This window comes from Homo sapiens, chromosome X, assembly GCF_000001405.40.
Source record: "Homo sapiens chromosome X, GRCh38.p14 Primary Assembly".
NCBI lineage: Eukaryota > Metazoa > Chordata > Mammalia > Primates > Hominidae > Homo > Homo sapiens.
In genome coordinates, this window is record NC_000023.11 from 30,880,278 (window position 1) to 30,905,950 (window position 25,673).

The 25,673-nt window shown below is 40.1% G+C and overlaps 1 protein-coding gene across 11 annotated transcripts in view, besides 2 other annotated features; it reads right to left on the reverse strand.

Moving 5' to 3' along the window:
* Positions 1 to 8,977, reverse strand: part of TAB3 (TGF-beta activated kinase 1 (MAP3K7) binding protein 3) — a 61,813-nt gene extending 52,836 nt beyond the window's left edge. For 9 of the 11 annotated variants that reach the window (XR_950433.2, NR_174362.1, NR_174361.1 and 6 more), the window contains exon 1: positions 8,837 to 8,977. The gene's annotated coding sequence lies outside the window, so the exon portion shown is untranslated. Of the gene's footprint in view, positions 1 to 3,310; positions 8,569 to 8,836 lie in introns of those variants that run through there. The other 2 variants (XM_047441986.1, XM_017029400.2) reach the window with 2 other exon arrangements.
* Positions 8,633 to 9,022: a silencer, noted in NCBI's record as "silent region_20727". NCBI's record gives its function as "represses an Ori minimal core promoter by ATAC-STARR-seq in GM12878 lymphoblastoid cells {active_cell/tissue: GM12878}" and the evidence as "EXISTENCE:reporter gene assay evidence [ECO:0000049][PMID:35858748]".
* Positions 9,183 to 9,352: an enhancer, noted in NCBI's record as "active region_29510". NCBI's record gives its function as "activates an Ori minimal core promoter by ATAC-STARR-seq in GM12878 lymphoblastoid cells {active_cell/tissue: GM12878}" and the evidence as "EXISTENCE:reporter gene assay evidence [ECO:0000049][PMID:35858748]".

Consider the following 25,673-nt stretch of genomic DNA (forward strand, 5'->3'; position numbering starts at 1 on the left):
TTATGATAAAACTATAATAAACAAGACAATGTGGCATCAGTACAAGTAGAGACAAACAGACCAAAGGAACAGAACAGAAAGCACAGAAACAGAACCACAGATATATGGACACTTGATTCCTGACAATAGCAGGGAAATGGTGTGCTGGGAAAATTAGCTATCCATATAGGAAAAGACGGTATTATCCCCTACCTCACACAAAATACAAAAATCAATTTCAGGTATATGCTAGATCTATATGTGAAAGCCAAAACAACAAAGCTTCTAGAAGATGAGAGAATACCTTGGAGGTAATCTTATGAGAATACCATGAAATAGAAAAAGCATGCCACACAGTGGGAGAAGATATTTACAACCAGCAAGGGCTCATTTCCAGCATATAGTAAAAAACTCCTACAAATCGGCAAGTCAAAAAGACAAAGAAGTACATGACACATTTTTGAAGAAATTCCTCCCAAAATAGTCATGAAAGCACAAACCTGTTACCTGGAAGATTTAGTTAAAAATATTAACATTCTCCCCGAGATTTAGAGAATATCAAGTTTTAACTACATATTAACATTTAAAAAAATTTAACTGCTCATATTTCAATAAACCAGTTCTCCCATTCCTTATCCAATCTAAACTGTAAAATAATTACTCCTGAAAAGTCCTGCTGAAGAAATCTTTGCCTACTCCAAGGTCACAAAGACATTCTCCACAAACTGAGATCTACGTACATATCCCTCAACAATAATATATAATGATCTATTCATACAGTGGAATAGTATACAGTAATGAGAATGAACAGTCTACAACTACATACGATATAAATACATCTCAAATTCACGATGTTGCATAAAAGAAGTCAGAGACAAAAGAGTCCATTTAGATAAAGTACAAAAGTAGGCAAAATTAATCTGTGGTGTTAGAAGTTAGGACAATATGCAGGGATGGGGGTGGAGGGGGGTAAGGTAGTAAGAATTTCTTGATCTGGGTGCTAGTACACAAGTGTGCTCAGTTGGTGAAAATTCACTGAGTTGTTCACTACCGTACTTTCTGTGTACTTTCTGCATATTAAACTTCAGTAAGAGGTTTTTTGTTTTTTTTTTAAGTGTAAAGGAGTACATTTTTCAAAATTGTTTAGGGAATATGAGAAAAAAGTTTGAAGGTCATTGCTTCAGGGTAAAGCACAAAAATCAGATAACAAAATTTTAAAAAGCAATATACTAATTACCAAAAATATACAAGAGGTGTCAAACCAACTAGTGACTCTCAAACTTACAGTAATATTGGTTTGAAACTATTTGAACCCAATTGATAAACTGACTTATATCTAGACTTAGTGACTAGTGTTGATTCATAAAGATTTCAGATAAGCAACTTGATCTTGTAGGTTTTTGTTAAACAAGAGGGTTTTTACATCTTAGAAGTTAACTAACAACTAGATTTACACATCTAGTCAAACTCCCTAATTTTACAAATGAAGAAACCGAGGTCTTTTGAAGTTGGGTGATTTCTTCAAGGTCATAAGAAGCTCTGAATATGTCTAAACAATTCAAGTTATTTAATTAAGTTCACCTCCTCCCAATTTTCTGTAACTTCTAGGGGATTTCCACCTACCAAGAGAGTTTGTTTACTGGCAGTGTCTCTCAATACACACTACAGTCAACTGAAACATTTTTATCCAAACAACTCAAAATTAATTTCTTTGCCATCCATGACTAATAGCCAAATGCTATTTCTGTGGCATAAAAGATAAGACTTTCTAAAAGTAAAGTTCATGATGTGCAGCCTAACAGATAACTTGCTGTTTACACTAAATGATGACTTTGACATCAAACTGAAGGCATGTGTGAAAAGTTAGAGTAACAATGGCACCTGTTACATATGGTATCCCTGAAAAAAACAAAAAGACTGGATTGTTGCCACAAATCGAAACCAAGGATTTTCTAAAAGCGCATATAAACAAATGTTCTAAATTACTGAAATTATACTAACTTAATTTATTAAATCAATCATAACTATGATGAGTACTAAAAAATTAAATTCTCCAATTCATTTCAATTAGCTTCTATATCCAAGAAGTATGCTTAACACTTTTTTAATAGGAAGAATGACTTGTCATTTTGAAATCAAATCCATCAAAAGTGAATAGTGCATAAAATAACTCATTTAGTCCCATGAAAACACAGTTTTAAATTATAAAAATGCTTTAGCCTACACTCCATCACCATAGTGTTCTTTCCACAGTAATAGGACTCTCTCCTTTTATTTCAACCTATAAAGTTCAGTGCCAAGATAAATCCCTGGACTTGCCATCCCTAGAGGAAACACCTAGCCTTCGAGTATGTGCAGAAAACTTAAAACTAAAACAGAAAATGGCTTTACAACCACAGAAATCTATTCACTAAAGAACTGGAGGGCTCCATGATATAAAAACAAATAATTAAAAATGACTTAACAACTCAGTGCAACATGGTATCCTGGAACAGCAAAAGGACATTAGTGAGATTCTGGTAAAATCGAGTAAAATCTACAGTCTCACTAACAATAATGTACCAATGTTAATGTCTTCGTTTAGACAAAGGTACCAGGGTTATATATACTTGGATGAAGAGTATATAGGAATTCTGTACAATCTTTGCAACTTCATTGTAAGTCTAAAATTATTCCAAAATAAAAAGCTTATTTAAAAAGAAATGACTTAGCAAAAACTACTAAAAGTTGAGAAATTTGCACCTCAATTCTGACTCAATTAAATGCCCATAGTCAATATCTTTCTTCAAATGATGATCTCCATCAACACAAGGCCTAAATGGGGAAATGGAGTGGGTTCACAGAAGAATGCTATTTCTCCAACATTAAAAAATAAAATAAACCCCCCTAAACCCCTTAAAAAATACTTCAGGCAGGAATGAAGAGTCTGAAACCATTCCTCAGTAGAAAGGAAAGAGAAGAATCCTATTTAGTGCAAAAGATGTGGGCAGTGGACAGCCAAGCAGACAAAAGTATTCTAGAGATCCTAGACCAGTCAAGCTGAATAATTAAAAAATACATAACACTTCTTATGCACTCACTCATGGGTCAGATGCTATTTTAAGCACTACACACGTATTAACACATTAATCCTCTCAAGAACCCCATAAGGGAGGCACTACTTTTACCTACATTTTACAGATGGGAAGTTCTGTAAGTAATAGAACAGAGATTTGAAGATAAGCACTCTGAGTGGACAGTCCATGCGCTTAACCACTATACTATACAGCCTTTTAAGGAGCCAAGCCAGAAAAAAGCTACTGCCTTCTAGAGACCAGTCTCCACTACTTACCCTCGGCCTCTACCAGAGGAGAGAGTTCTCTTCCCAAGGCTTGACGGTCCTTGCTAGGACTGCAAAGGAAGATAGCCCTACTGCCATATCTGCAAGATTGTGTTCATAATCTTTCAGTACTTGATGTACTCAGTGCATGTTCCTGCTGAGACACTGTTACACATAAAAGTTAGTTTTTATAATACTATCAGTATTCAAATTCAGATATGTTGGGCTGGCTTGGGAATCTGAACACTATTATGTGACATTTTTCTGTGGGAAAATGGTGCTGCTTAAAAAAAAGTCTTACCAATGGATCATTTAGAAATTGAGGCTCCCCCTGCACAGACTCTAGCCTTTAGATACCAAGATAACTGTATTTTAATAAAGACGTTGCAATTACTCAAATAATCTAGTTTTGCTCAAACATCAAAAAGGCATAGTTCTTTATACCTAACAAAAGGAATGGTGTTACTGAAAAAAATAAGCTTAATATTCTATGAATTTCCTGCACTATGGCCAATTGTGGATATATCCAGCAGTTAACATACTGCTCTCTCCCTGAACCTCTCAAATAAACTCTGCATTAAAAAATTGCTACCAGGTAAACAAATATATCTTTCATGCCCACACCCCAGAACAGAAGGCGTATCATCTTCGAAAGTAGCTAAAGTAATAACAATAATAGTAGTAATGATGACGACAACGTAATAATAAGAACTAACTCTTTTTGAGTATTCACCATTGCTAGGCATGTTTTAAATATGATACATCCTCTGGCTCATTTAATCCTTGTATGAGGTAGGTACCACATTATCCCTTCAAAAATGAGGGAACAGGTCAGAGATTAAGTAATTTGCCCACGAACACAGAGCTAGTTAGTGTCAGATCTGAACATCTGGGCATTTTACCCCGAGATCATATTTTTAACCTCTGCACTCGCTGTGTAATTAAATAACTTGGTAAACTCTTAAAATGAACACAGCGTGCTTACTGAAAGTCATTTTTCAAACGAAAGAGTGGTTTGGAAACCAAAAAAAAAAAAAAACCATCTTGCCTTTTATTAGGAGTATTTCCTTCAACCAATATAAGACTGAACACATTTATGGAAAACAAATTTAAAATGTACTTAGCTTTGTTTTTATTACCTTCATATCCCTCACTTAATTGTCTGAACATCACAAACAGTGGTAACAGTATGTAACCTCAACACGCTAACACTTTATTTTAAAATCTTGAAGTAAAACAAACACACTGTCCCATGTTTACACTAAATAAATGAGGGTAAAATAACTGCAAGAGGTCCAATACCTTTGAAAAGTTTCAAATCATCAGTAATTCATGGTGGGAACAAGATATTCCTTTTATGAAAAACCAAAACTATGCTCTTTCAACAAAACTGCAAGATCTGTCCGCTTTAATGACAATATTAGGCTGAGATGGACTAACTTAAATTTTATTTCAAAACATGTGCCTAAATTTAGAAATTCTTCATTGACAATCTAAAAAGCCTATCAGTTTATCTCCCACAAGAGCCATCTGATCCACATAAATCTAATTCTGGACAGCTAAAGGTGTACTATTAATACCTACCATTTCAGTGAATAATTAACAAAAAGCAGGCAACCCTCAACAATTTCTGGAGCACAAGCTGATTTTTAAAATCATCTATTTGAAACTCAGACTTTGCCTTTCCAGGAGACAATGATCAATATGCTAGGTTTCCAAGCCCGCTCACAAAAGCCTAAATGTCCAAAAGGTTACAGAAGTATAACAAAACACAGAACCTGTGTGGGCAATGTTTCTACAGGAAAATCAATTTAGCATTCCAACTTAGGATAACAGCAACTACTCCTGACCCATTTAGCCCTGGAGGTAGAAAAAGGAAATCTTCCCTCCCATAACTGGAAGTCTGAGCTTCCCTAGGACCACAGACCTCGGCTTCCACTATGAAGGAGGGCAAAAAGGCAGAGCTGGGGTGGGAGGAGATCCAGGGATGAGGAAGGCAAGACCAACTGGGAAAGAAGGATGGAGCGGGGGATGGCAGCTGAAAGGAGTGAGGAAACAGTGCGAAGATGGCGGCCTGCTGAAGAGGATGAGTGTACAGTGCCTGTTCCTGCAGCACGTGGGCTTTTACCAACTTTCCTCCTTGGTGTTTAAGGAGAGGGAAGAAGAGGAGAAACCATTGGAGGGTCTTGACAGTGCCTCCCTCACTCTTGGCTATTCTCATCCTCCTTTTCAAGAAAGAACAGGGTGGGGTAAGAGATCTTATCCGCATCCCTCTTGACCTCCTAGAGCACGGGATGGTGGAGAAGGGACTTGGAGGAGTTTTGGTGCCTTCCTTGTTAGCATCCACCCTATCAAAGACTTCAGTGTCAATGGAAAACTAAGGGTGCCAGGTAAATGGTAGGAACAGCATCAGAAGGAGAGGATGGAAAGTAGAGAAATTTGAAGCAGGGAGGGAAGTAGGATGTTAGAGTTGGACAAATAGAACTGTCCATGAATTAAACTATAATAAATGTTCTTATTTAGGATTAATTCAGTTTGATAGTTCCAAATATTTCATCAAGTCCATTTCACTTTTAGAGAAATAAATATTTGTGGCCATGGTAATAATTTGAGGTTTACCATATAGAAGGTATGAAAATAAACTTATAAGTAGATATGAGGCAATTTCCTGGTGTTTTATCTTTATACGGTGGCAATATAAATCATTTCAGAAAGGCTTTATTTACTTGGTAAGCATTCAGTTACATTATCATTTGTTGATTTTTTTTTTTGCCCTAATAAATAGCCCAAATACCATGAGTAATTACTTTCACAAGTAAGGAAGTATATTTTATTTAACGCTTTCTTGGGAGTATAACTATATTTAAAAACTTATTCAGACCACAGATTGCCCATCAAGATGCCAAGGGATTACTTAAAACAGTCTCTAAAGCTACATAATACACACACATACTGATGTGTACTGAGGAACACAAGACTCCTTTTTCTGTTTCCATGAAGACAGGACTACTTAACTGAAGGCCCCCAAACAATGTACTTCTTAAAAGATGAAGCAGCAAACCCCAAATTTCAAAACTTTTCTAGAACTTTCAGCCAGAGATAATTAACTAGGCAGCTAAACCTGACTAAGTGACTTGGTGGAGGATGACTACCAGACATTTAGTATCTTTTTCTCTTTTTTTCTGATTTCTGTGGCTGTTCCACTTCAACTCTATTCAGATGTGGAGCCCTTCTCTTGAGCAGGCTCTGCAGCACATAAGAAATGCAACAGCAAAGACCAGTGGGAGATAAAAGTGACCACTGGCAAGATGTTCCTGCTGTTTCATCAACACCTCAGATACTGCCTGGGAACCTGTTAAGGTCTTTCATTCCCTTGCCCCATAGCAGATTATGGTGGATCCCAGAAGAGCTGCCGTCTTTTCTGCAAATCATGAATAGGGTCCAAAACCTTTGTATCAAATTATTAAAGAGAAGAAAAACAGGGTCAGCTGTCAAGTACTCCACTTGCTGGAGAAGGCAGGGATGTGTATGTGTACCTCCAAGCTGATAAAGCAAATTCAAACCCCTATAGATAGTTGCCATGTAATAATGTAATTTGAAATACTATTCAGGACTAGAATAAACAAAATATTTGTTCTTTGAAGTATCTTGGGCATGCTGACACAAGAGGCAAAGTAACTGAAAATATCTGAATTTCAGATAGGTCACTACCAGCTATCAGGAATCTCTTTACAGATCAGCAGACTTCTAGCTCAAATGTTACCTCTGGCTAGAAAATGGACGCATCTGAAAAGAAAAAAAAACCTTGAGATTATCTGGAGCCAAGGACACTGAAAGCTTTCAAGATTACCAACAGAACTGAAAGGTTTCTTTGTAACACAAATTTCCATTTTCATAAAATTTGTATCAGTCAGCACAAAAACTTACGCAGAGTATGGTGAAAGAACACACACTCTAGAATCAGACCTACATGAGTTTGAGTTCTAGCTCTGCAATTTACCAGCTATATAATCTCCTCAGCGAAGTCGCCAAAGAATATTGGAGGTTAGTATTGTTCTGTGCAATCGGCATAACATTATCTTTAGCATAGGGTAGCTGTGAGGATCTCCAGTGCCTGAATATAATCGACGTTAGCTCTGTTTGCTCCAACAAACTGTACACAATGTGGTATCTATAACTGAGGGGAAGACTCCATCAAATAAACATATGGATGAAAATTCAGGGTGACTGAATGCAGATTATGTTCTTTCAGATGTGAAGATGAAAATCACATATTTAATATTTACCTTCACTGAAGTCTTTCCCTTGATTAAGCCAGTTGTAAGCAAGTGGGGGCGGGGGCTGTCCCTACGGTTGTAAAGATTCATATCACACACTGACTAAAAAGCATGTATATGTATGTGCCTGTATTCTTCCGGTGTTCATAAAACACACCATCACAAAACTTACCATGGGTGATGAGGCCCTTTATAATTTAACACTGTGCAAAATTAAACTCTCATCTCAAAAAACCCTTTCTTCTTCCACGTGTTCTTGTATACTACTGCAAATCATTACTAAAGCAAAGAAAAAAGTAAATTCTCTTATCCTTTCAAAATGAAAAAGTGCGCAAAGAAAGCTCAGTTTGCCAAACTGTTCCCTTTTCTCATTCATTCTTGTTCTTTTAGAAACCAGAAGTAAATATACTGTATGCCAAAATGACTGCCTGATTGACAAACGTCACTGAAGAAACACATCGAACTGACAAGCCCGGTCTGGACCAAAGGTGGCAAGTTTTCTTAAATAATTTAAATAAGTTACATTTCAGTAGAAACAGAAGGATTTACACTTTAACACATTAACAAACTTTGGATCTTTTTATGCAGCTTACTTTATGCCTCACCTGTCCCTCACCCTTCAAATCCTGCTTTTACGCACTTTATGAGCTGGCACACGGTAGTAAACTACAGAACTCCAACTGGGAATAACTCTAATCTGTTGTTGGACCTCAGAGGACTGCTTGTGCGATCTTTAAAGGAAAGCAGTGTTTTCTCCTTACTCAACACCTACCAACAGTCATCTGGAAACCTCCTCTCCAACAATTCTTACTATACTGCTACTAACCTTCACATCTCTCAACACCCTCAACGGCCCCCACGCTGGTGCTGCTAGTCCTCATCCTCAAACACCTTCCTGGGGGCTTAAAGCCGGTCCACAGAGGCTCACTCTCCGCAATGCCTAGGGTCCGGCGAGGAAGGGCATCGTCCCCTCCGTTTGGGGGACCAAGGCCAATCAAGTCGACACCCCACCCCAGCCACTCCCTCTCCCCTCGGCCTCTCGGGGCGTCTGGGGCGGGCGCGGACGCGCCAGGCCCTGCGCAAACCTCCGGCAGCCCCGCAGTTCCCGCTGTCAGCCGCAGTCCCGGGCCGGGGTGAGTCCCCGGGACGCCGCAGTTGCGCACACGCCCACCGTCTCAGGCACAGGGTCACTGGGACGATCCCGGGGGCGCCCCCGACGTCCCTGCTCGGGCAGGTGCCGGGCCTCCCCGCGGACACTCACCAGGCGGCTGCTGCTCTCTGGCCGCCGCCGCCGCCGCCTCGCCCTCACGCCCGTCGCCTACTCCCGCGGGGGGTCCGGGCCGGCGCCGCTTCCCCGCCCGAACCCCCAGGGTACGCGCCGTGCAGGGCCGGGATCCGGTGTGAGCCGCCGCCGCCGCCGCCGCCCCCTTTCCTCCCTCCTCCCTCAGTGCGTCCCTCCCACCGAGGCCCGCCTCGTATTTCCTAGATCCGGTCTGAGCGAGAGCTTGGCAAGCAAGCTCTGGCTTCAGGGCTTCCGTCGGGCGCCGTCGCTCGCCAGGCACAAAGATGGCGCCGCCGGGTACTGCCCAGGGCGATCTCGCGAGGCTTCCCCCACAGGAACAGGAGGGCGGGGGCCCAAAGGAAAGGTGATAAGTTAGGGAAGCCTGAGCAAACGCTTCCCATATCGGAAATGGGCAGTACCAGTTACCGAAGAAGTTACTGCGCCTGCGTGCGCGGGTAATGACGCATGCCCGGAACGGCCCCTAAAGTAGGACCTAGTTCTCCAGGTTTTACCTGTTTCCACTAGTGGCGCGGGGCGGGGTAATGAAACCCAGTCAAGAAACCCAGTAAAGGGCTTGGCAGGACCAGGCACCAAGTGAGAGGCGTCCCTTAAGGCTTGGTCATCCCTCAGGAGCCCGAATGGCCAACACACTTTTTGCGTCCCCGGGAGTCTTCTAACCCTTTGCTTGTCCTTATGGGTTTTGTCACCGAGTATTCTGTGCAAAGCCTCAGCTGCACCTTCTTCATCCTGTTATGGGTTCACATTATTAATCAAGAGCTTCTTGCTGTGTGCTTGCAGATGGCCTCACAGTTGGCAGCCACAGTCCTCCTGTTTCCCACATCACCATCTAACTTTCTCTTTCATTTTTAGTGCTACATGAGCCATCTGATACTAATAATTCTTTTTCCTATTTTATTTTTTCTTGCTCATTCATTCAAACGTGTGTTGTTCAGTTTCCTATGTGCCAGCTACTGAGGAAATGCTGTGATCTCAGGGAGCTATTGGTCTGGGATGGAGATGAATGAGAAAAAACAATGACGACACTTTAGCACAGTAAGTTCTATGATAGAAATGAGTACAGAGAGGAGTGACAGATATGGGGGGAGGATATAAAATACATCAAAGAGGAAATTCCTTTTTTTTTTTTTGAGACCGAGTCTCACTCTGTTGCCTAGGCTGGAGTGCAGTGGTGTGATCTCGGCTCACTCCAACCTCAGCCTCCCAGGTTCAAGTGATTCTCGTGCCTCAGCCTCCCGAGTAGCTGCGACTACAGGTGTGTGCCACCATGCCCGGCTGATTAGTTTTGGTAGAGACAGGGTTTCTCCTGTTGACCAGGCTGGTCTTGAACTCCTGACCTCAGGTGATCTGCCCGCCTCGGCCTCCCAAAGTGCTGGGATTACAGGTGGTGAGCCACCGCGCCCAGCCAAAGAGAAAATTCTTGAGCGGTGTCTGACAGGCATAGGATTTAGTCCAGTGAATCACTCAGGGCGATAGCAGGAAACAAACCACCCCAATTATTTCAACCAAGAGAATTTAATATCAAGAATTGATTATTAGGCAACTGATAAGGTCAGAGAGAACTCTTAATGTATCGCAGAGGTAGCAACTGCAGGAAGCAGCTACTATGCCTAGAGCTAGGAGGAGGAAGGGAAGAGGTTGGGATTATTACAATTTAGACGTTTAGAGGAATTGCCTTGTGGAGGTAAAACTCAGACCTCTGAGAAAGGAGCAGCATCTGCTGGTGCTCGTGTCTTTGAGTGGGGCTCAAGACGTTGTCTCTGCAAGTGTGGGGAAACTGCAAAGGATCCAACTGCTGCTATGGGAAGGAAGTTCTCCTGTCCCTCTGGGAGCTTCCAATCTCCCTCTAGCCTGGGGATGAGAATGTGACACCTGGACTGGAGCTGAACTTGACCCACATCCTGAAGTAGAGCAGCTCCAGTGTCAAGAGCCACTCATTTTGGAAGCTGGATGTGGTCAGAAAGGGGGTCATTCACTCCTATCACACACCCCACATACTGGGGCCCATCGTGCTGAAACATTTGTAGAAAACCTGCTTCAAGTTCAGGTTTCGGACCAAGCAGAGCAGCCCCAGCCAACTCACAAACCCATGAGTGAGAAATAAATGCTTATTGTAGCATGGCACTGAGACTTTTCCTTATTACGTGGCAAAAGTGGACTAATACGGCAGCTCTGTTCCACAAAGTGAGCCACGGTTTAGTCTCCCTATGTCTTCTTGCTCCACCATTCCTAGACTGTCGTCCTAGTCTACATGGTCCAGAATGGCTCAGCACGACATCACATTTCAGTCATCAAGGGTGTGAAAGCCTACCCATTTCCTTTAAGGGCATGACCCAGAAGTTGTTACCATCAACTTATGTTCACAACCCACTGGCCAGAACTTAATCACGTTATTGCATCTACCTGCAAGGGAGACTGTGAAATGTGGTCTTATTCTAAGCAGTCCTGTAACTAGCTAAACATTCCATGACTTTGGAAAAAACATTGAGGGGACAACCAGAAGCCCCATAAAATTATCAAAACCCAGACCTTATTTGAAGTTATATCTTGTCCTCTCTCCCAGTTGGATCCTACCACCAATGAGGAGCTTGGAGTCAAGGAAGCAGGTGTAACCCTTCTCTTTCCGTCCCTTAGGCTTCTACTTCTCCTACCCTATCTTGCTAACCATAGCTGTATCTCCTCCAGGGATGAAGAGGATAGAAATGGAGGTGGCAAGGTGTTGCTTTACTGATCCTTTCATAAGATGGCTTTGTCCTCTCTGGACATGGCAAATGCCGAAAATTGGCTCTTTGTTGATTTCTTCTGTGAGTTCTTCTTAGGGTCCCACTGGGGAGATTCAGGAGTACCTCTCAGGACACAAATGAAGCTCTTTCTTCCATCTAGCCTCTCTCTCCTCAGCCCTTTGTCTCTCTTACTTTTCAATGCTGCTGTAAGTCCTCTATTGGTTGTCAATGCCTTCTATGTGACTGGCATCCGAATGCTGGCTCTCATAGGGTGAGTATGATTGTTCAGGACCCCCTTCACTGCACATTTCTTAAATATGGACTCAATCCTTTTAAACTTCTCCTCAGCCCCTGTCTCTTGTGGAATACCTATAGTTTCTTACTGCCAGTATCGCTTCACCAACTGGCAAGCCCTTTGGCAGGCACAAGCAAATGGCTCAAGTTATTTTGCCTTCTGAGACACTCACCTGATCCATGAGAAGTTCACAAGTCCTTGCCATGCTGAACAACAGACATGCTGCCTTGTCATTGCTGCTCCAGCAAGTTTTCTGCCTTCAGAATTCTGACAAGAGGCAGTCTCAGTGTCTATACTGACATGGGCCTCCAAACTCCAGGGATACATAGCAGGCTCTCTCTAAAACTTTCTCTCCAGGTTGGACCTACAGATAGCTTCAGTTCAGTAACCAAGCATCTGGAGGGTGATATATCTTGAAGACATTCTTAATCAGCTCTCATAGGCCACCTCACTCTCATTTTTCTCATTGGCTTCCCCTTTTTCAATGGGAGAGAAAATGTACAACACCCCCTTTAAGGTAATAACTAATAAACCTCTCCCTTGTAGTCTTCTCTTATTTAGGCTGGAGGAAGTGTTTGAGTGAGGCCATAGAACCGGTTTTGTCACCTCTTGGTGAGTCCTGTAGAGAAGTGCCTAGGAGCTCTCTTTGGAATGTGATAGTACTTAGTATGCATTCTTTTCACCTGTATCATCAGACACATCTTATGTACCATTTCAGATATTTTTAGCCTCACCTGTTGTATCAATATTCCATTGTCCTGTAACAAACCACTTCAAAACATAGTCTAAAATAATAATCATGTTATTTTCTCATTATGCTGTGGGTCAGCAAATTGGGGTGGGCTCAGCCAGGCAGTTTTTCTTCTGGTCTCACATGGGGTCACTCATGGTAGAAAGAATAGAGGCTATTCATGGGACCAACGACATTCTGTGTCACCCCCAACTCCACAAGGTATGGTCTAAAAGCTAAAAAGTGAGCTGGGCCTTTCATGGACCATTTCATGAGGCTGTCTGCTTCTACAGGATAAGGTATATGATACCAGCAGTTCTTACTGTCATGTGCAACTCCTTTGCAGTAAAATGGGTCCATTGGTTTAAGGCAATACTTTGTGGGATACCATGTTACTAGATGACCATTTGCAAACTCCTGAATGGTGGTGCTCGTGCAGAAACTGCGGATAGGTAAGCCAAACTCATATTTGGAGTATGAATCAGTTCTGGCAAGAATGAACTGCATGCCCCACACCCCGTGTGGAAGGGATCCAAAGTAATCAATCTGCTAAAGTGTCTGGTCTCCTTGAGAAATGGTGCTGTACTGTGGGCTCAGTGTTGATCTCTGCTGCTGGTAGGTCGGGCCAGTAATAGCTAATTGAGCCTTGGTAAGAGGGAGCCCTTGCTGGGCCTGAAGGGTAACACTGGGTTCTGTTGAGAGGATCCCTTGCCCCTTTGCTTTCCCTTCTTATAGTGCAAGTCTAAGAGAAGCCTTGTCAGTGATGGACTACTCAGGCTGCTTGATGCCAGGCAATCTGAAGTTGTGGTGCCAACTGTTTATAGGCATTGTCTGGGACCTTGGGGTTAATTAGATATTACAATTCTTCTATGAGGGGGAGAAGTCCTGTGGGAAGCTGAAATCGGATGCAGCTTTTCCCTTTGGTAAAAGGGCAGATCCCTGGTTCCAGTTAGCTTTTTGCCTGTAACCCAACATGAGTTCTCAGGATCACATTTAGACAAATCTGCTCTTTGTACTAAAATGCCCTATTTAAATTATGTTAATGTTCTGTGTAGACCCCTTGATTTTTACTTTGTGATTTAGTGATTCTCAATGAAAAAGGGGTTTCTCATAATCTAATTTTTTTCTGTATATTCTACCCCCTACTCTGCTTCCCACCTAATCTTCATTTAGTACTTGTGCCTGTACTGGCCAGTACCTTAAATAACAAGTGTCAGAATGCCTTCTGAGCTTGCTAGAAGAATTAAGAGCAACCTACTCTAATTTTCCCTATCATAAGCACAAGAAACAACTGAATTGAGCCCTCTTATACCAAGACACTGAAAGAGGGAATATAAAATTATTAATTAGTTCTATATCATAACTATAGTGGGGACTCTGTCTAAAGAACAGCACCAACCCAAAGGTAGTGAACTGAGGGTTAAAGGGAGAGACAGAAGAACTAGGTTTGGAGGATATCATTTGTACTCCTGCATCATGCAGTACTTAAAACCAGCCCTATCTTCTAGACTATTTAGTTACATGATCTCTTTTCCTTTTGCATAAGCCTGTTTGAGATACGTTTTCTGTCACTTGCAAAGAAAAGATTCTAAATGAATATATCATGAATGAATGAGCATAAGAAATGAATGGTTTGAATACTCAAGATCATGACTGAGTATAGGGAAGGTGATATGGTTTGGCTCTGTGTCCCCACCCAAATCTCATCTTGAATTGTACTCCTATAATTCCCACGTGTTGTGGGAGGGACCCCGTAGGAGATCACTGAATCACGGGGGTGGTTTCCCCCATACTGTATTCCTGATAGTGAGTAAGTCTTACGAGATCTGATGGTGTGATAAGGGGAAACCGTTTTGCTTGGCTCTCATTCTCTCTCTTGCTGCCACCATGTGAGACGTGCCTTTTACCTTCCACCATGATTGTGAGGCCTCCCCAGCCATGTGGACCAGTAAGTCCAATAAACCTCTTTCTTTTGTAAATTGCTCAGTCTTGGGTATCTCTTTATTAGCAGCATAGAAATTGACTAATACAGAAGGCAAAGTGACCAAAAATATTTATATTGTTTCACTAAAATGAATCCAATTTTTGCCTAGTGCTTAGGGCTCAACATGTAATAAATACTCAAGACATAAGTGCTCAATAAGCATGTGTTAAATTAATTGTAATTCTACAAAAGGAAACACACCTGGAGAACCTAAGGTGACACAGTGAGTGGACAGGGGCAGGATTTAAACCCCTCTCCACCAAAAGTAAGTGATTTATGAATCAATACTGCTTACAAAATATTGTAGCTGAGAGTGTTCTTTGCTTTTGGGAAGGCTATAGGCTACCCTTCAATAAACATAAAAAATGGCTTGTTTTAGTAGCTTTTTTTCCTGATGGTCTTGAGGTTTTCCTGAACCACAGAGTTTCCTTTCCATAGTAAACATGTAATAGTACAAAGAGACATTTGACAGATGAAAATTGAGGTTAAGAGAATTGCCCAAGGTAATAGGTAACCGGTTCAGCCAAGATGGGAATTCAGCCCTTCCCTTCCCAAATGCAATGAGCTCTCTGCCAGGAACACCAGAAACAGTAAGTGTCATTTATTCATAGCCTTAGGGATTAATTCATCATTCAACATACATTTATTGAGCCACATTCTGAGGACACCGAGATGAATAAGACAAAGTCCATGGCTTCAAGGTATTTGCAGCCTATTAGAAAGAATGTCACATAAACAAATAAGCATAATGGAATGTAGCAAATGAAGCCATAGCTCATGCCTTTGGTGTTCTAGAAGCTATGGGTCTGGAGGAAGTGTTTGGGAGAGTGGGGATTGCTAAAAGTTATGGGTGGGAGAGAGTTAGTTGTCTTCAGTTGTCCTGAAAGAGGTCATGTGTAAACTCATAATAAAAATGAGTAAGTATATGTCCAGTTATTATAAATAAAATAATTAAATTCAAAATTAAGGTTTATTATTATTTCCATCTTGCCTAGGATAAATTATATAAAGAATTTTTTAACGTCTTTTTTTTTTTTTGAGACGGAGTCTTGCTGTGTCTCCCAGGCTGGAGTGTAATGGCTCGATCTTAGCTCATTGCAACCTCTGCCTCCCGGGTTCAAGCGATTCTCCTGCTTCTGCCTCCTGAGTAGCTGGGATTACAGGCGTTAGCCACCACACCTGGCTAATTTTTGTGTTTTTAGTTGAGATGGGGTTTCACCACGTTGGTCAGGCTGGTCTCGAACACCTGACCTCAGGTGATCCACCCTCCTCGGCCTCCCAAAGTGCTGAGATTACAGGCGTGAGCCACCACGCCCAGCTAATGTCTCCTTTTGCTACTTAAAAAGATGATTTGCTTACTCCCACATCTCATGCTCTCAATCAGAGAGTGATGACACCATAAGAACTCTTTCTAACTTCTTTTTCTACAATCTTCTGACTCACTGTTGTGAGCTCAGAGATGTGAAAGAGAACAGTTGGGAGATGCTAAATCATGGCGCATGAGAGTGAGTCCTCTTGATATTCCTTAGACAAGGAATAGTCTTGGAGTAGCCGATAAAGTGCATGCATAGATCTTTCAAACCCAGATGGGTTAAAAACCAGTTTCAGGCTGGGCATGGTGGCTCACACCTATAATTCCAACCCTTTGGGAGGCTGAGATGGGAGGATCACTTGGGTCCAGGAGTTCAAGACCAGCCTGGGCAACACAGCAAGACCTTGTCTCTACAAAAAATTAAAAACTTAGCCAGGCATGGTAGCACTTACCTGTGGTCCCAGCTATTTGGGTGGCTGAGATGGAAGGATTGCTTGAGGTTGGGAGGTTGAGGCCATAGTGAGTCATGGTCATGCCGCTATACTCCAGCCTGGGTGACAGAGCAAGACCCTGTCTCAAAATGAAATTCCAAAAAATGAAAAAAACCCGCTAGTTTCAAACCCATATTATGGTTCATGTGTGTAATGTCCAAAAGACGTGCTGAAGAATAATAGTTGACAATACTTAATTTGGCATATTTGGTTAGAAAATTGTAAATAAAGCATATTGACATAGTCAAAAGTCAGTGGATAATTATTTAAAATATTACACTTGCCTGTAATTCTATTATTATAAAACAGTGACTTTCCTTTTTACTCATTCATTCATTCAACAAATATATAAGGAGGCTCTGTGATGTTATGTCTTATGCGAGAAGCCAGGGTCATAGCAGTGAACAAAGATCTGTGGTTATAGTTTTCCATTTAAAGGGATGGATACACAAACAAGTACAATAAAGTGTAGTAAGGGTAGGTATGAGGAGCACCTAGTAGAGATACCTAATTTGGACTGAGGGACTCATGAAAGGCTTCATGGAGAAAATGACATCTAAATTGAAGGAAGTGACAGTATCATTTACTTTTACAAATGCAGTAATACTTGTATCAGTTAGTAGGCTAATAGAACCCCAAAGAAATCCTCAAAATTTAGTGACTTAAAGAACACAATTATTTCTCCCTAACATAACAGTCTAGGTCAGGTGTTCTCCACATGGTGATCTAGGGACCCAGGGTCCTCTTGCTTTGTGCCTCTATAACTTCTATAGCCTTGTTACCTACGAGATTGAGGTTGGATTGCCACAAACGGACATCAGCTAGTAGATGACCAAAAATGTGTAAAGGAGGCACCTGGCCGGGGAGTATCACACATCCCTTCTACTCATATCTCATTGACTAGAATTTAATCATATGACTACATCTAACTTTATATACCTAGGAAGCAGGTTAGAATGGATTTTGGTGAACAGTTACCAGAATTCACCATGATGGTATATGTAAAATCTTTTTGTAGATTCTTACTTTACTTTTCTTCATATCAAACATTTTCCATGTTTCTTCATAGTCTTCATTAATGTAGTAGGTTTTATTATTCTTCAATAAATTTGCCCCCTTCTCCTCTGGGTCCATCTCTATAGAACCTCTTCGGGGAGAGGGGCCTCCCTGAAGGAATAGTATCTGTCCCATTGATAGCAGGCTTGGTCATATGACTTTCTTTGGTCAGTGGAATTTGTCCAGAAATGAAATATTCCACTTCTGAACATAAGCTTGAAGAGCTGTTATTCTGTTCTACTTTTTGTCCACTGCCATGAGACCAACATGGGGACTGGTCTTTCCAACTGGGTCCTAGGATGAAGCAGAGCTATAGCTAACCTGCAAAGGGTAGGTATTGTGAGTGAGAAATAAATCTGTGATAAATCACTGAGATTTGGGAATCATCTGTTACTGCAGCATAATCTAGCAAAAGCTTACTGAATTAATAATTATAATGTCTACATTGTTCCATTGCGGTATGCACACCAATTTTTTAAGCCATTTAAAAATACTGGATATTTAAGTAGTTTCCAATTTTCTGCTATTATATGTCATGCTAAAATTGACATCTTTATGCAAATATTATATTTCTTTTATATTATCTTCCAAGGACACATTTTTCAGATTAAAAAATTGAGTCAACATATATGACTATCATTATTGCTCTTGTTTCTAAGAGGGTTATATTGTCTGTGTATTAAGAGAGGGTACAGCAATAAACACAGAAACTACTCTAATATTTATTTGGAGGAGGTGGTTTTACCAGATCCCAGAATCCAGGGCAATTTAAAGGGAACCTGAATCATGGCTATGTCTGCCTGGTCAGAATTGTCCAGTAGTAGTTGGACCATCAAGGGAGGTTTGGTTTGGCAAAAGCTAAATCCATGGAAGAGATGATTTAAGAATCAGAAAAAGAGGGAGAAAAATACCGCAAACTCTTCCCTCTTGCTCTCCAATCTCTCCAATCTTGTGCCTGTACCACTGCTATAGTTTGAATATTTGTGTCCCCTTCAAAATTCATGTTGGGACTTAAACCCCAATATGGTAGTATTAAGAAGTGGGGTTTTTAGGAGGTGATTAAGTCATGAAGACAGACCCCTCATGAATGGGATTATCAACTTTATGAAAGGGCTGTAGTGAACTACCTAGCTTTTGCTTATCTATCTCTTCTGCCATGTGAGTGGGGAACGTTTGTCCTTTTTGCCCTTCTGCTCTTCTGCCATGTGAGGACGTAGCAAAAAGGCCCTCACCAGGCACCAAATAGCAGCTCTTTGATCTTGCACTTTCCAGCCACACATAGAACAAACTCATCCGTCACCAACGAAGAAAACTCCAAAATACACGCCTGTTACTACATACATCTCAAAGTCCAGGATCTCTGAATGATGTGCTGATGTGCAATCCTCTATATCAGGCTCAGATGTGTCTCCTTGTGATCCTGTGATTTATAAAAAGTAAGACAAGTTATGTGCCCCATCCACAACATAATGGTGGACTAGGAACAAGGTAATAAGAACAGAAACACTGATGTTGGAAAGGGAAAAGGGGAACCACTCAGCAGTCATTATTAGTTCATGGTAATTATTAAGTCCTACTGGCTTGGAAATGCAAAAGCTCCTTGTCCTAACATTGGATTGAATTTCTTAGTTAGCCCATCTGACAGCTCTTAGCTCTGCTCTCTTAAGAAAACTCCTTGTCCATTGTCCTTTATGGACCTTGTCTCTGCTCTATGGAAGGTTCATTTTCATTGATTATTATGGCCACATTTGCAGTGGGCGGTTCTTGGGGATTGCTCAGCTTTCACAGCCTGTTTCCTACTGAGAAGTGTGGGGGGTCCTAACACTACATGAGGGCTCTAATCATGATAGGCATTTGCAAACCAGCCTTTTGGTTTCTGTGGCTTTTGGATTCCCTCTACTACTTAATAGGATTCTGGTCTATTTGCTACTTGCCAATTACATATAGAAGTAACCATAGTCTAAGATCTCTTCCAAGTAAATTCTTTTGCTGTCACTGTTCTCTGTGCTGATTCATCTTCCTCTCATTGAACTTAATAGTTGCTTCCTTAGGTTCTTCTTAATAGGTTTGTAAGAGAAGTTGACATACTTAACATGATCTCTACCTCTGCTCTGGTTCTCATTTACTGGTCAAAAGGAAGATGTGTGAGGAGCCACAATATTATTTCCTGCCAAGTCTTCCTTTTCTGCAGCCTCTTTAAGCTGCTTTACTGTGAAGTTGCAGAAAGCAGATGGCTTTTTCAATTGCGTAGGACTCTGAAATTGCAGGCCACGGGCAAAGAACATACTCTTGACAGAGCTATGTTCCCTCCATTTTTTGTTGCTTTCTGTCTGACTCTCACCAGGGTCCATCACTCTATAGGATGTTGTTAAAAGTACTAAGATGCAGCATACATTCCCCCAACATTTGGAATCTTTCTTATCATTTACCCCAATGCCATTGCTTGCTATGCTCATGAGTTGTCTTCCAAGATCTTGCTGACCTTTGTTAATACTGTGCCTAGCTAAAATTTCTGTTTCCATGGAAGAAAGAGAAAATGGATATTGGGGAAGAACTAGCATGCTCACACAAATGCCTATTGATTTGGACAGGTTCTTAATTCCATTCCATAAAGTGAGTCAGCAACTTGACTTGCAGAAGGCATGGGGCCAATGAAATAGAAAGCTGGCACCCTCAGATTGCCATACAGTACAGTATGAAAGGACTCACTGTAAAAAGGAAACCCAGACAGCCTCCTCCTCACCAAAACAAAAAATTGTGGCTAAATTTTTGCTAGTTTTGATATGACTGGTATAGATGCCTAAAGATTATCTCATAACTAGCAAAAACCTGACTTTCTGGTTCATGTCAAAAACTAAATAAAAAAGAAATTAATTTTGAAAGTCTAACAAAACAGCTACCTGCTGATTTTAAAAGCTATAAAGGTGAGAAAAGCCATGCACTATTATAATATTTTTCAATATGGTTGTCGGATTGCTGAAGTTACTTCTGAAATTCTTTTGTTTCCTTTTAGAAATATTCAATGTTGATTTGGAGCTTGTAACATATTCTAAATACCTCATGATATTTCTTTCTTTCTTACATTATAAAATAAGCCTTTAAAGAGAATAAAAAATTATCGATTGTCACAGAGATTTTTCCGTCTCTTCTCAGCATGTTCATATTATTTATTATGTCATTTTCTTGACGTTCATTTCATCTGATAAATGCACTCCAGATTCCTTCATTTCTAGCACTAAAAATACCTTCATTAGTTTGCACTGTCAAAATACAAATTAAATATCAATTTTATTTAAAAATGGGAGTAATGGCTATTCTAAGAAGTTCTGGGACAAAGCCAATAGACTTCGAGAAATGCATATTGCTATAGTTTTTTATACCAATAGAAATATAAGAAATTTTGCCTATTTGTTCACTGCTACATACCTGGTGCCCAGAATAGTACTTGGTGCACACTCAATAAATGTTTATTGAATTAATAAATTGAAATCAATGAATTTCCTTTTAATAATTCTAAAATACACTGGAAATATTTAACTAAAGTAGTCAAAAGAGAATTAGGTCTTTTGAAGTCTAAAGAGGAGACAGCATGATGTGATTATATCGTGATGGCCCTCCAAAACTCCAAGTGGACATCTCGGCCCAGGTAACATAGACTGGATCGCTAATGGCATTGAGCACTGTTTCTGCCTAGACTGGAAACTAGCCTAAGGGGCCTTTCCTGTGTGTCCTTTCTCCTGAGCCCAAACTTAATTTCTGCTCAAGTGTCTAAGGGGTACAAGTAGGAGTAGAGGTCTTTTTCTTAGCTGAATAAGGAGTGAGGAAAAGAAGAAATATGGCCCATTTGTCATCGCCAGTCACAGAAAGAGGTCATGAGTAAGATTCTGAGCAGGCTGGGCATGGTGGCTCACACCTCTAATCCCAGCACTTTGGGAGGCCAAGGCAGACGGATTACTTGAGGTCAGGAGTTCGAGACCAGCCTGGCCAACATGGTAAAACCCCGTCTCTACTAAACACAAAAATTAGCGGGGTGAGGCTGAGGCACGAGGATTGCTTGAACCTGGGAGGCAGAGGTATCAGTGAGCCGAGATCACGCCACTGCACTCCAGCCTGGTTGACAGAGCAAGACCCTGTCTCTAAATAAATAAGTAAATAAATAAAGATTCTGAGCAAAAAAACCTCCACAAAGGGAATTCAGAGGGAGAGGAATCCCAATGGCTTATATACAGAAACATTTAACTTCCTAGATTATCATGCAAGCTGAGATAATTGATTTGAGATCTTTGCTTTTTTCTCAAAGAGGTGTTTAGTGCCATAACTTTTCTTCCAGGCACTGCTTTAGGTACATCGCACAAATTTTGATTTGTCATATTTTTGTTTTTATATAATTAAAAATTCTAATTTCTCCTTTGATCCATAAGTTATTTAAAGTTGTGTTATTTGAGGATTTTCCAGAGATCTTTCTGTTACTGTTTTCTAATTTAATTTCACTGTGGTTGTAGAACACATCGCAAAATTTGGATCCTTTTAAATTCATTGAGACTTGCTTTGTGGCCCAGAATATGGTCTATCTTGCTAAATATTCCATGTGTATTTGAAAAGAATGTGTATTCTGCTCTTGGTACACAGAATGTTTTATAAATGTTAATTAGGTCACTTTAGTTCATAGTATTATTCAAGTTTCCTACATACTTGCTGATTTTGTTTACTTGTTTTTTCTGTTTACTCTGGATTGATTATTGAGAGGGTTGTTTCAATCTCCAACTGTAAATGTGGAATTATGTATTCCACCTTTCAGTTCTATCAGTTTTTGTTTCATGTATTTTGAAGCTCTGTTATTAAGTTTATAAATACTTAGTATTACTATGTACTCCTCATGAATTGACCCCTTTATCATTATGGAATGACCATCTTTATCCCTTATATTCTTTGCTCTGAAATCTACTTTCATGTTAATATAGCCACTCCAGCTTTATTTTTACTAGTGTTAGTGTGGTATATATTTTCCCATGCTTTTATTTTTAACCTTATTTACATCTTTAAATTCAAAGTGGATTTCTTGTAAGCAGCATATTTGGGTCTTGCTTTTTCATCCAATCTGATGATCTCAAAAATTATTAGAAGTTCTTTTCATATTTAGTTTGTATTACAAACTTTTAAAAGTTTTTTAATATGTATGTATGTATACATTGTATCTGTGTATGTATATGCAGATGTATATATTTTATAAATAAAGGTATGCATATATGTTGGAAAGTGTCATCAAAAATCTTTTTATTCACAGGGTAAACAGTAAACAAAGCATGGAGACCACAGCTTTAGGGGGAATGTGAACAAGTGACCAGTACTTATTTCAGGTGAAGAAAAATAAGGACTGAGGGGTGAGACAGAGTCTGGACATCACACACCTCTAGTTGAGTAGCATCCCTCTATCATATATGTGAATGGTATTCACTGGAATTGTGTTAAGCTATGGCTTTTGCTAGAGGATCCATTTCGAGGAAAGAATAACAGAGCCATGTGTGAAAGAGGCTTTGAAGGGTCTGTTCCCAAGTGGACTCAAGGCCAAGCAAGCTGTCCCAACATACATCATTGGTCATGAGTCCAGAAGGATTGCCCAGTGGAGGGAGATATGTATATTGGGGAAAGGACTGGAGGGAAGAGAGCAAGACAGAAAAGTTCCAGAAGCTGCATAGGGGGTCCTTCTAGTCTATAGCTAAATCTAAGTTATGCATGTTCATTGTTTAAATACATAGTGTGACCAAAAGCTGGAAAGGCAAAAGGTTAAATTACCATCTCTGAAAAGGAGATATTTTATAAAAGCTAATGCTTACAAAACATACTGTTAAAATAGTTCCTTGGATAACAAGTATATTCTGCTGAAGAATATTGGTAATAATAGTTCTAAGGACTAAATGTGTATGTGAACTGTCTAAAGATTACCTCACTCAACATCAGATTTCTTGAATTTATTTTTTGAACTTCCAAAAGCAATCTAAAGCCTGCTATTTTCCAAGTGGTGGACTGAAGGTGTGAATTTCCCTCAGCCCTTGTAGGGAAGCACTTTGGAATTCATTTCCCTGACATGAGATTGCTTTCCCCAAAGCAATTTTGGAGGGAACATTAAGTGCTATAGAACTAGAATTGGAGAAATGGGCCCCACAAAATGTTTTTAATCAGAGTAGGAGCACATTTAATCACTGTGTAATAGAAGACTTTAAAGTAACAACACTTTGTTTAAGAGACTTATTGACTGGGGAGTTAATTTAAACTGGTCGTCTTCTTCTCCTCTTTGGCTTTCCATTTTGGAACTGTTTGGCCAAGATTGAGCTCAATATTTTATTTCTATTTGGTAGTTATTCTACAGCCCACCATTGCCACTCCCTTTAGCATCTTCATCCTTTGAACTATAAATGGAAATTCTCATGTTTTGGTATTTGTTTTTGCAAGTTATACTTGTCTCTGACGATTCCCTTTTCGTTTGAGAAAAGCCAGAGTGGCACTGTGTATTTTCAGTCATATTCCCCCTGGTATCAAATGTCACAGCTGGGTTGCAAGACGGTTTATTTGTATTATCATAGCATTTCCTTTAGATCTCTAGAGGCCTCTATCTCTAAAATCACTTGTCTACAGGAACTTCAGGGAGAATTATTTGACCTTTTAGAAAGTAAACTTTCCAACTGAGTATCTCCCTCTGGATCTAGGTTCAGATGGTTGTGCATGCGCATGTGTGCGTGTGTGGCTTGAGCTTTTAGGTTAATATAGATTCTGACTTTTCAAAGTGATATAGTGTGTCTTTGATTTCCCAAACAGAAAGAGCTTTTGTTGATTGTGATAATGAGTACACTATAAATATTGTGGCAGGATAATATATTGAGATCATAATGTATGTTCTTTCTTCTTGTTTTTTCCTCCTTCATTCCAGAAAGTTAGTAATTCTTTTTGTGCACCTTCCCAGAGGAGGGTTTGTATTTTATTTGTAGGCAGAAATAGGGTAACTAGCTATCCCAGTTTGCTCAGGACTTGTAGGGGGGGTTTGAGAGGGGAACAGTTCCTAGCACATGAGACTTTCAGTACTGAAGCCAGGAAAATCCCAGGCAAGCCAGGACAAGTTGGTTGCCCTAAGCAGAAGTCATGTACGAGATCCTTCCCATCTGGATTTTTTTCTAAACCCTGAGCTCGTTGAAGAGAGGTGCCCTTAAAGGTAAGTGGGGAGAGGAATACCACGTTTATGTAAATTTCTTATTGAAATATAACATACAAATTAAAAATGCACACATCATAAGTGTGCAGTTCTACAAATTTTCACCAAGTAAACACACATGTAAATAATATCCAGATCAAGAAAGAGAATATTTTCAGGATCCCTGAAGCCCCCTTGTGTATTCTTTTAGTCACCACCCCCTTGAATAACCATTATCCTTACTTAAAACATTTTAGATTAGTTTTGCCTGGTTTTAAAATTTATTTCAATGGAAACATACAGTTTATAATCTCATTTCCAGTTTCTTTCATTCAACATTATGTTTGTGAGATTCATCCATGTTGTTGTATGTTATCTAGTTTGGTCAATTCTTATTGTTATATATATCCCATTATATGACCATATCACTCTCTTAATCCTTTTCTGCTACTATAATAGATTACCACAGACTGGATAATTTATAAAGAAAACAAGTCTATTTGGCTCACAGTTCTGGAGGCTGGAAGTCCAAGATTAAGGGGCTGTTTCTGGTGAGGGCCTTCTTGCTGTGTCATATCATGGCAGAAGGGCAAACAAGCACGTGAGACAGAGAAAGGAAATCAGACCAAACTTGCTTTTGTAACAAATGCAGTCTCATGATAACTAGCACACTCCCATGATAACAGCAGTAATCCATTCATGAAAGTATAAACCCAAAATAAAATTCTAAGCTCTACAATTGACCACCTCCCACCTCCTTGGCCAAGAGCATTCCAAAGTAAACCTGAAAATCTAATTCAGGCCATGATGGGAAGTGAGGGTCAGGCATATTATACCCTCCTCCCTTTGGAATTGAGGCACAACTGACCAGCACTAACATTAAAACAGAGATCTTAAGACTGACCAAACAGACTGTAGCAATAAGATACATCACATGACAGATAGCAGGATCTGAAAGAAATCAAAGTATTTTACCCTGAAATATATTTCTTTGACATATTTAAAAATGGTTCTGCAAAGCTGT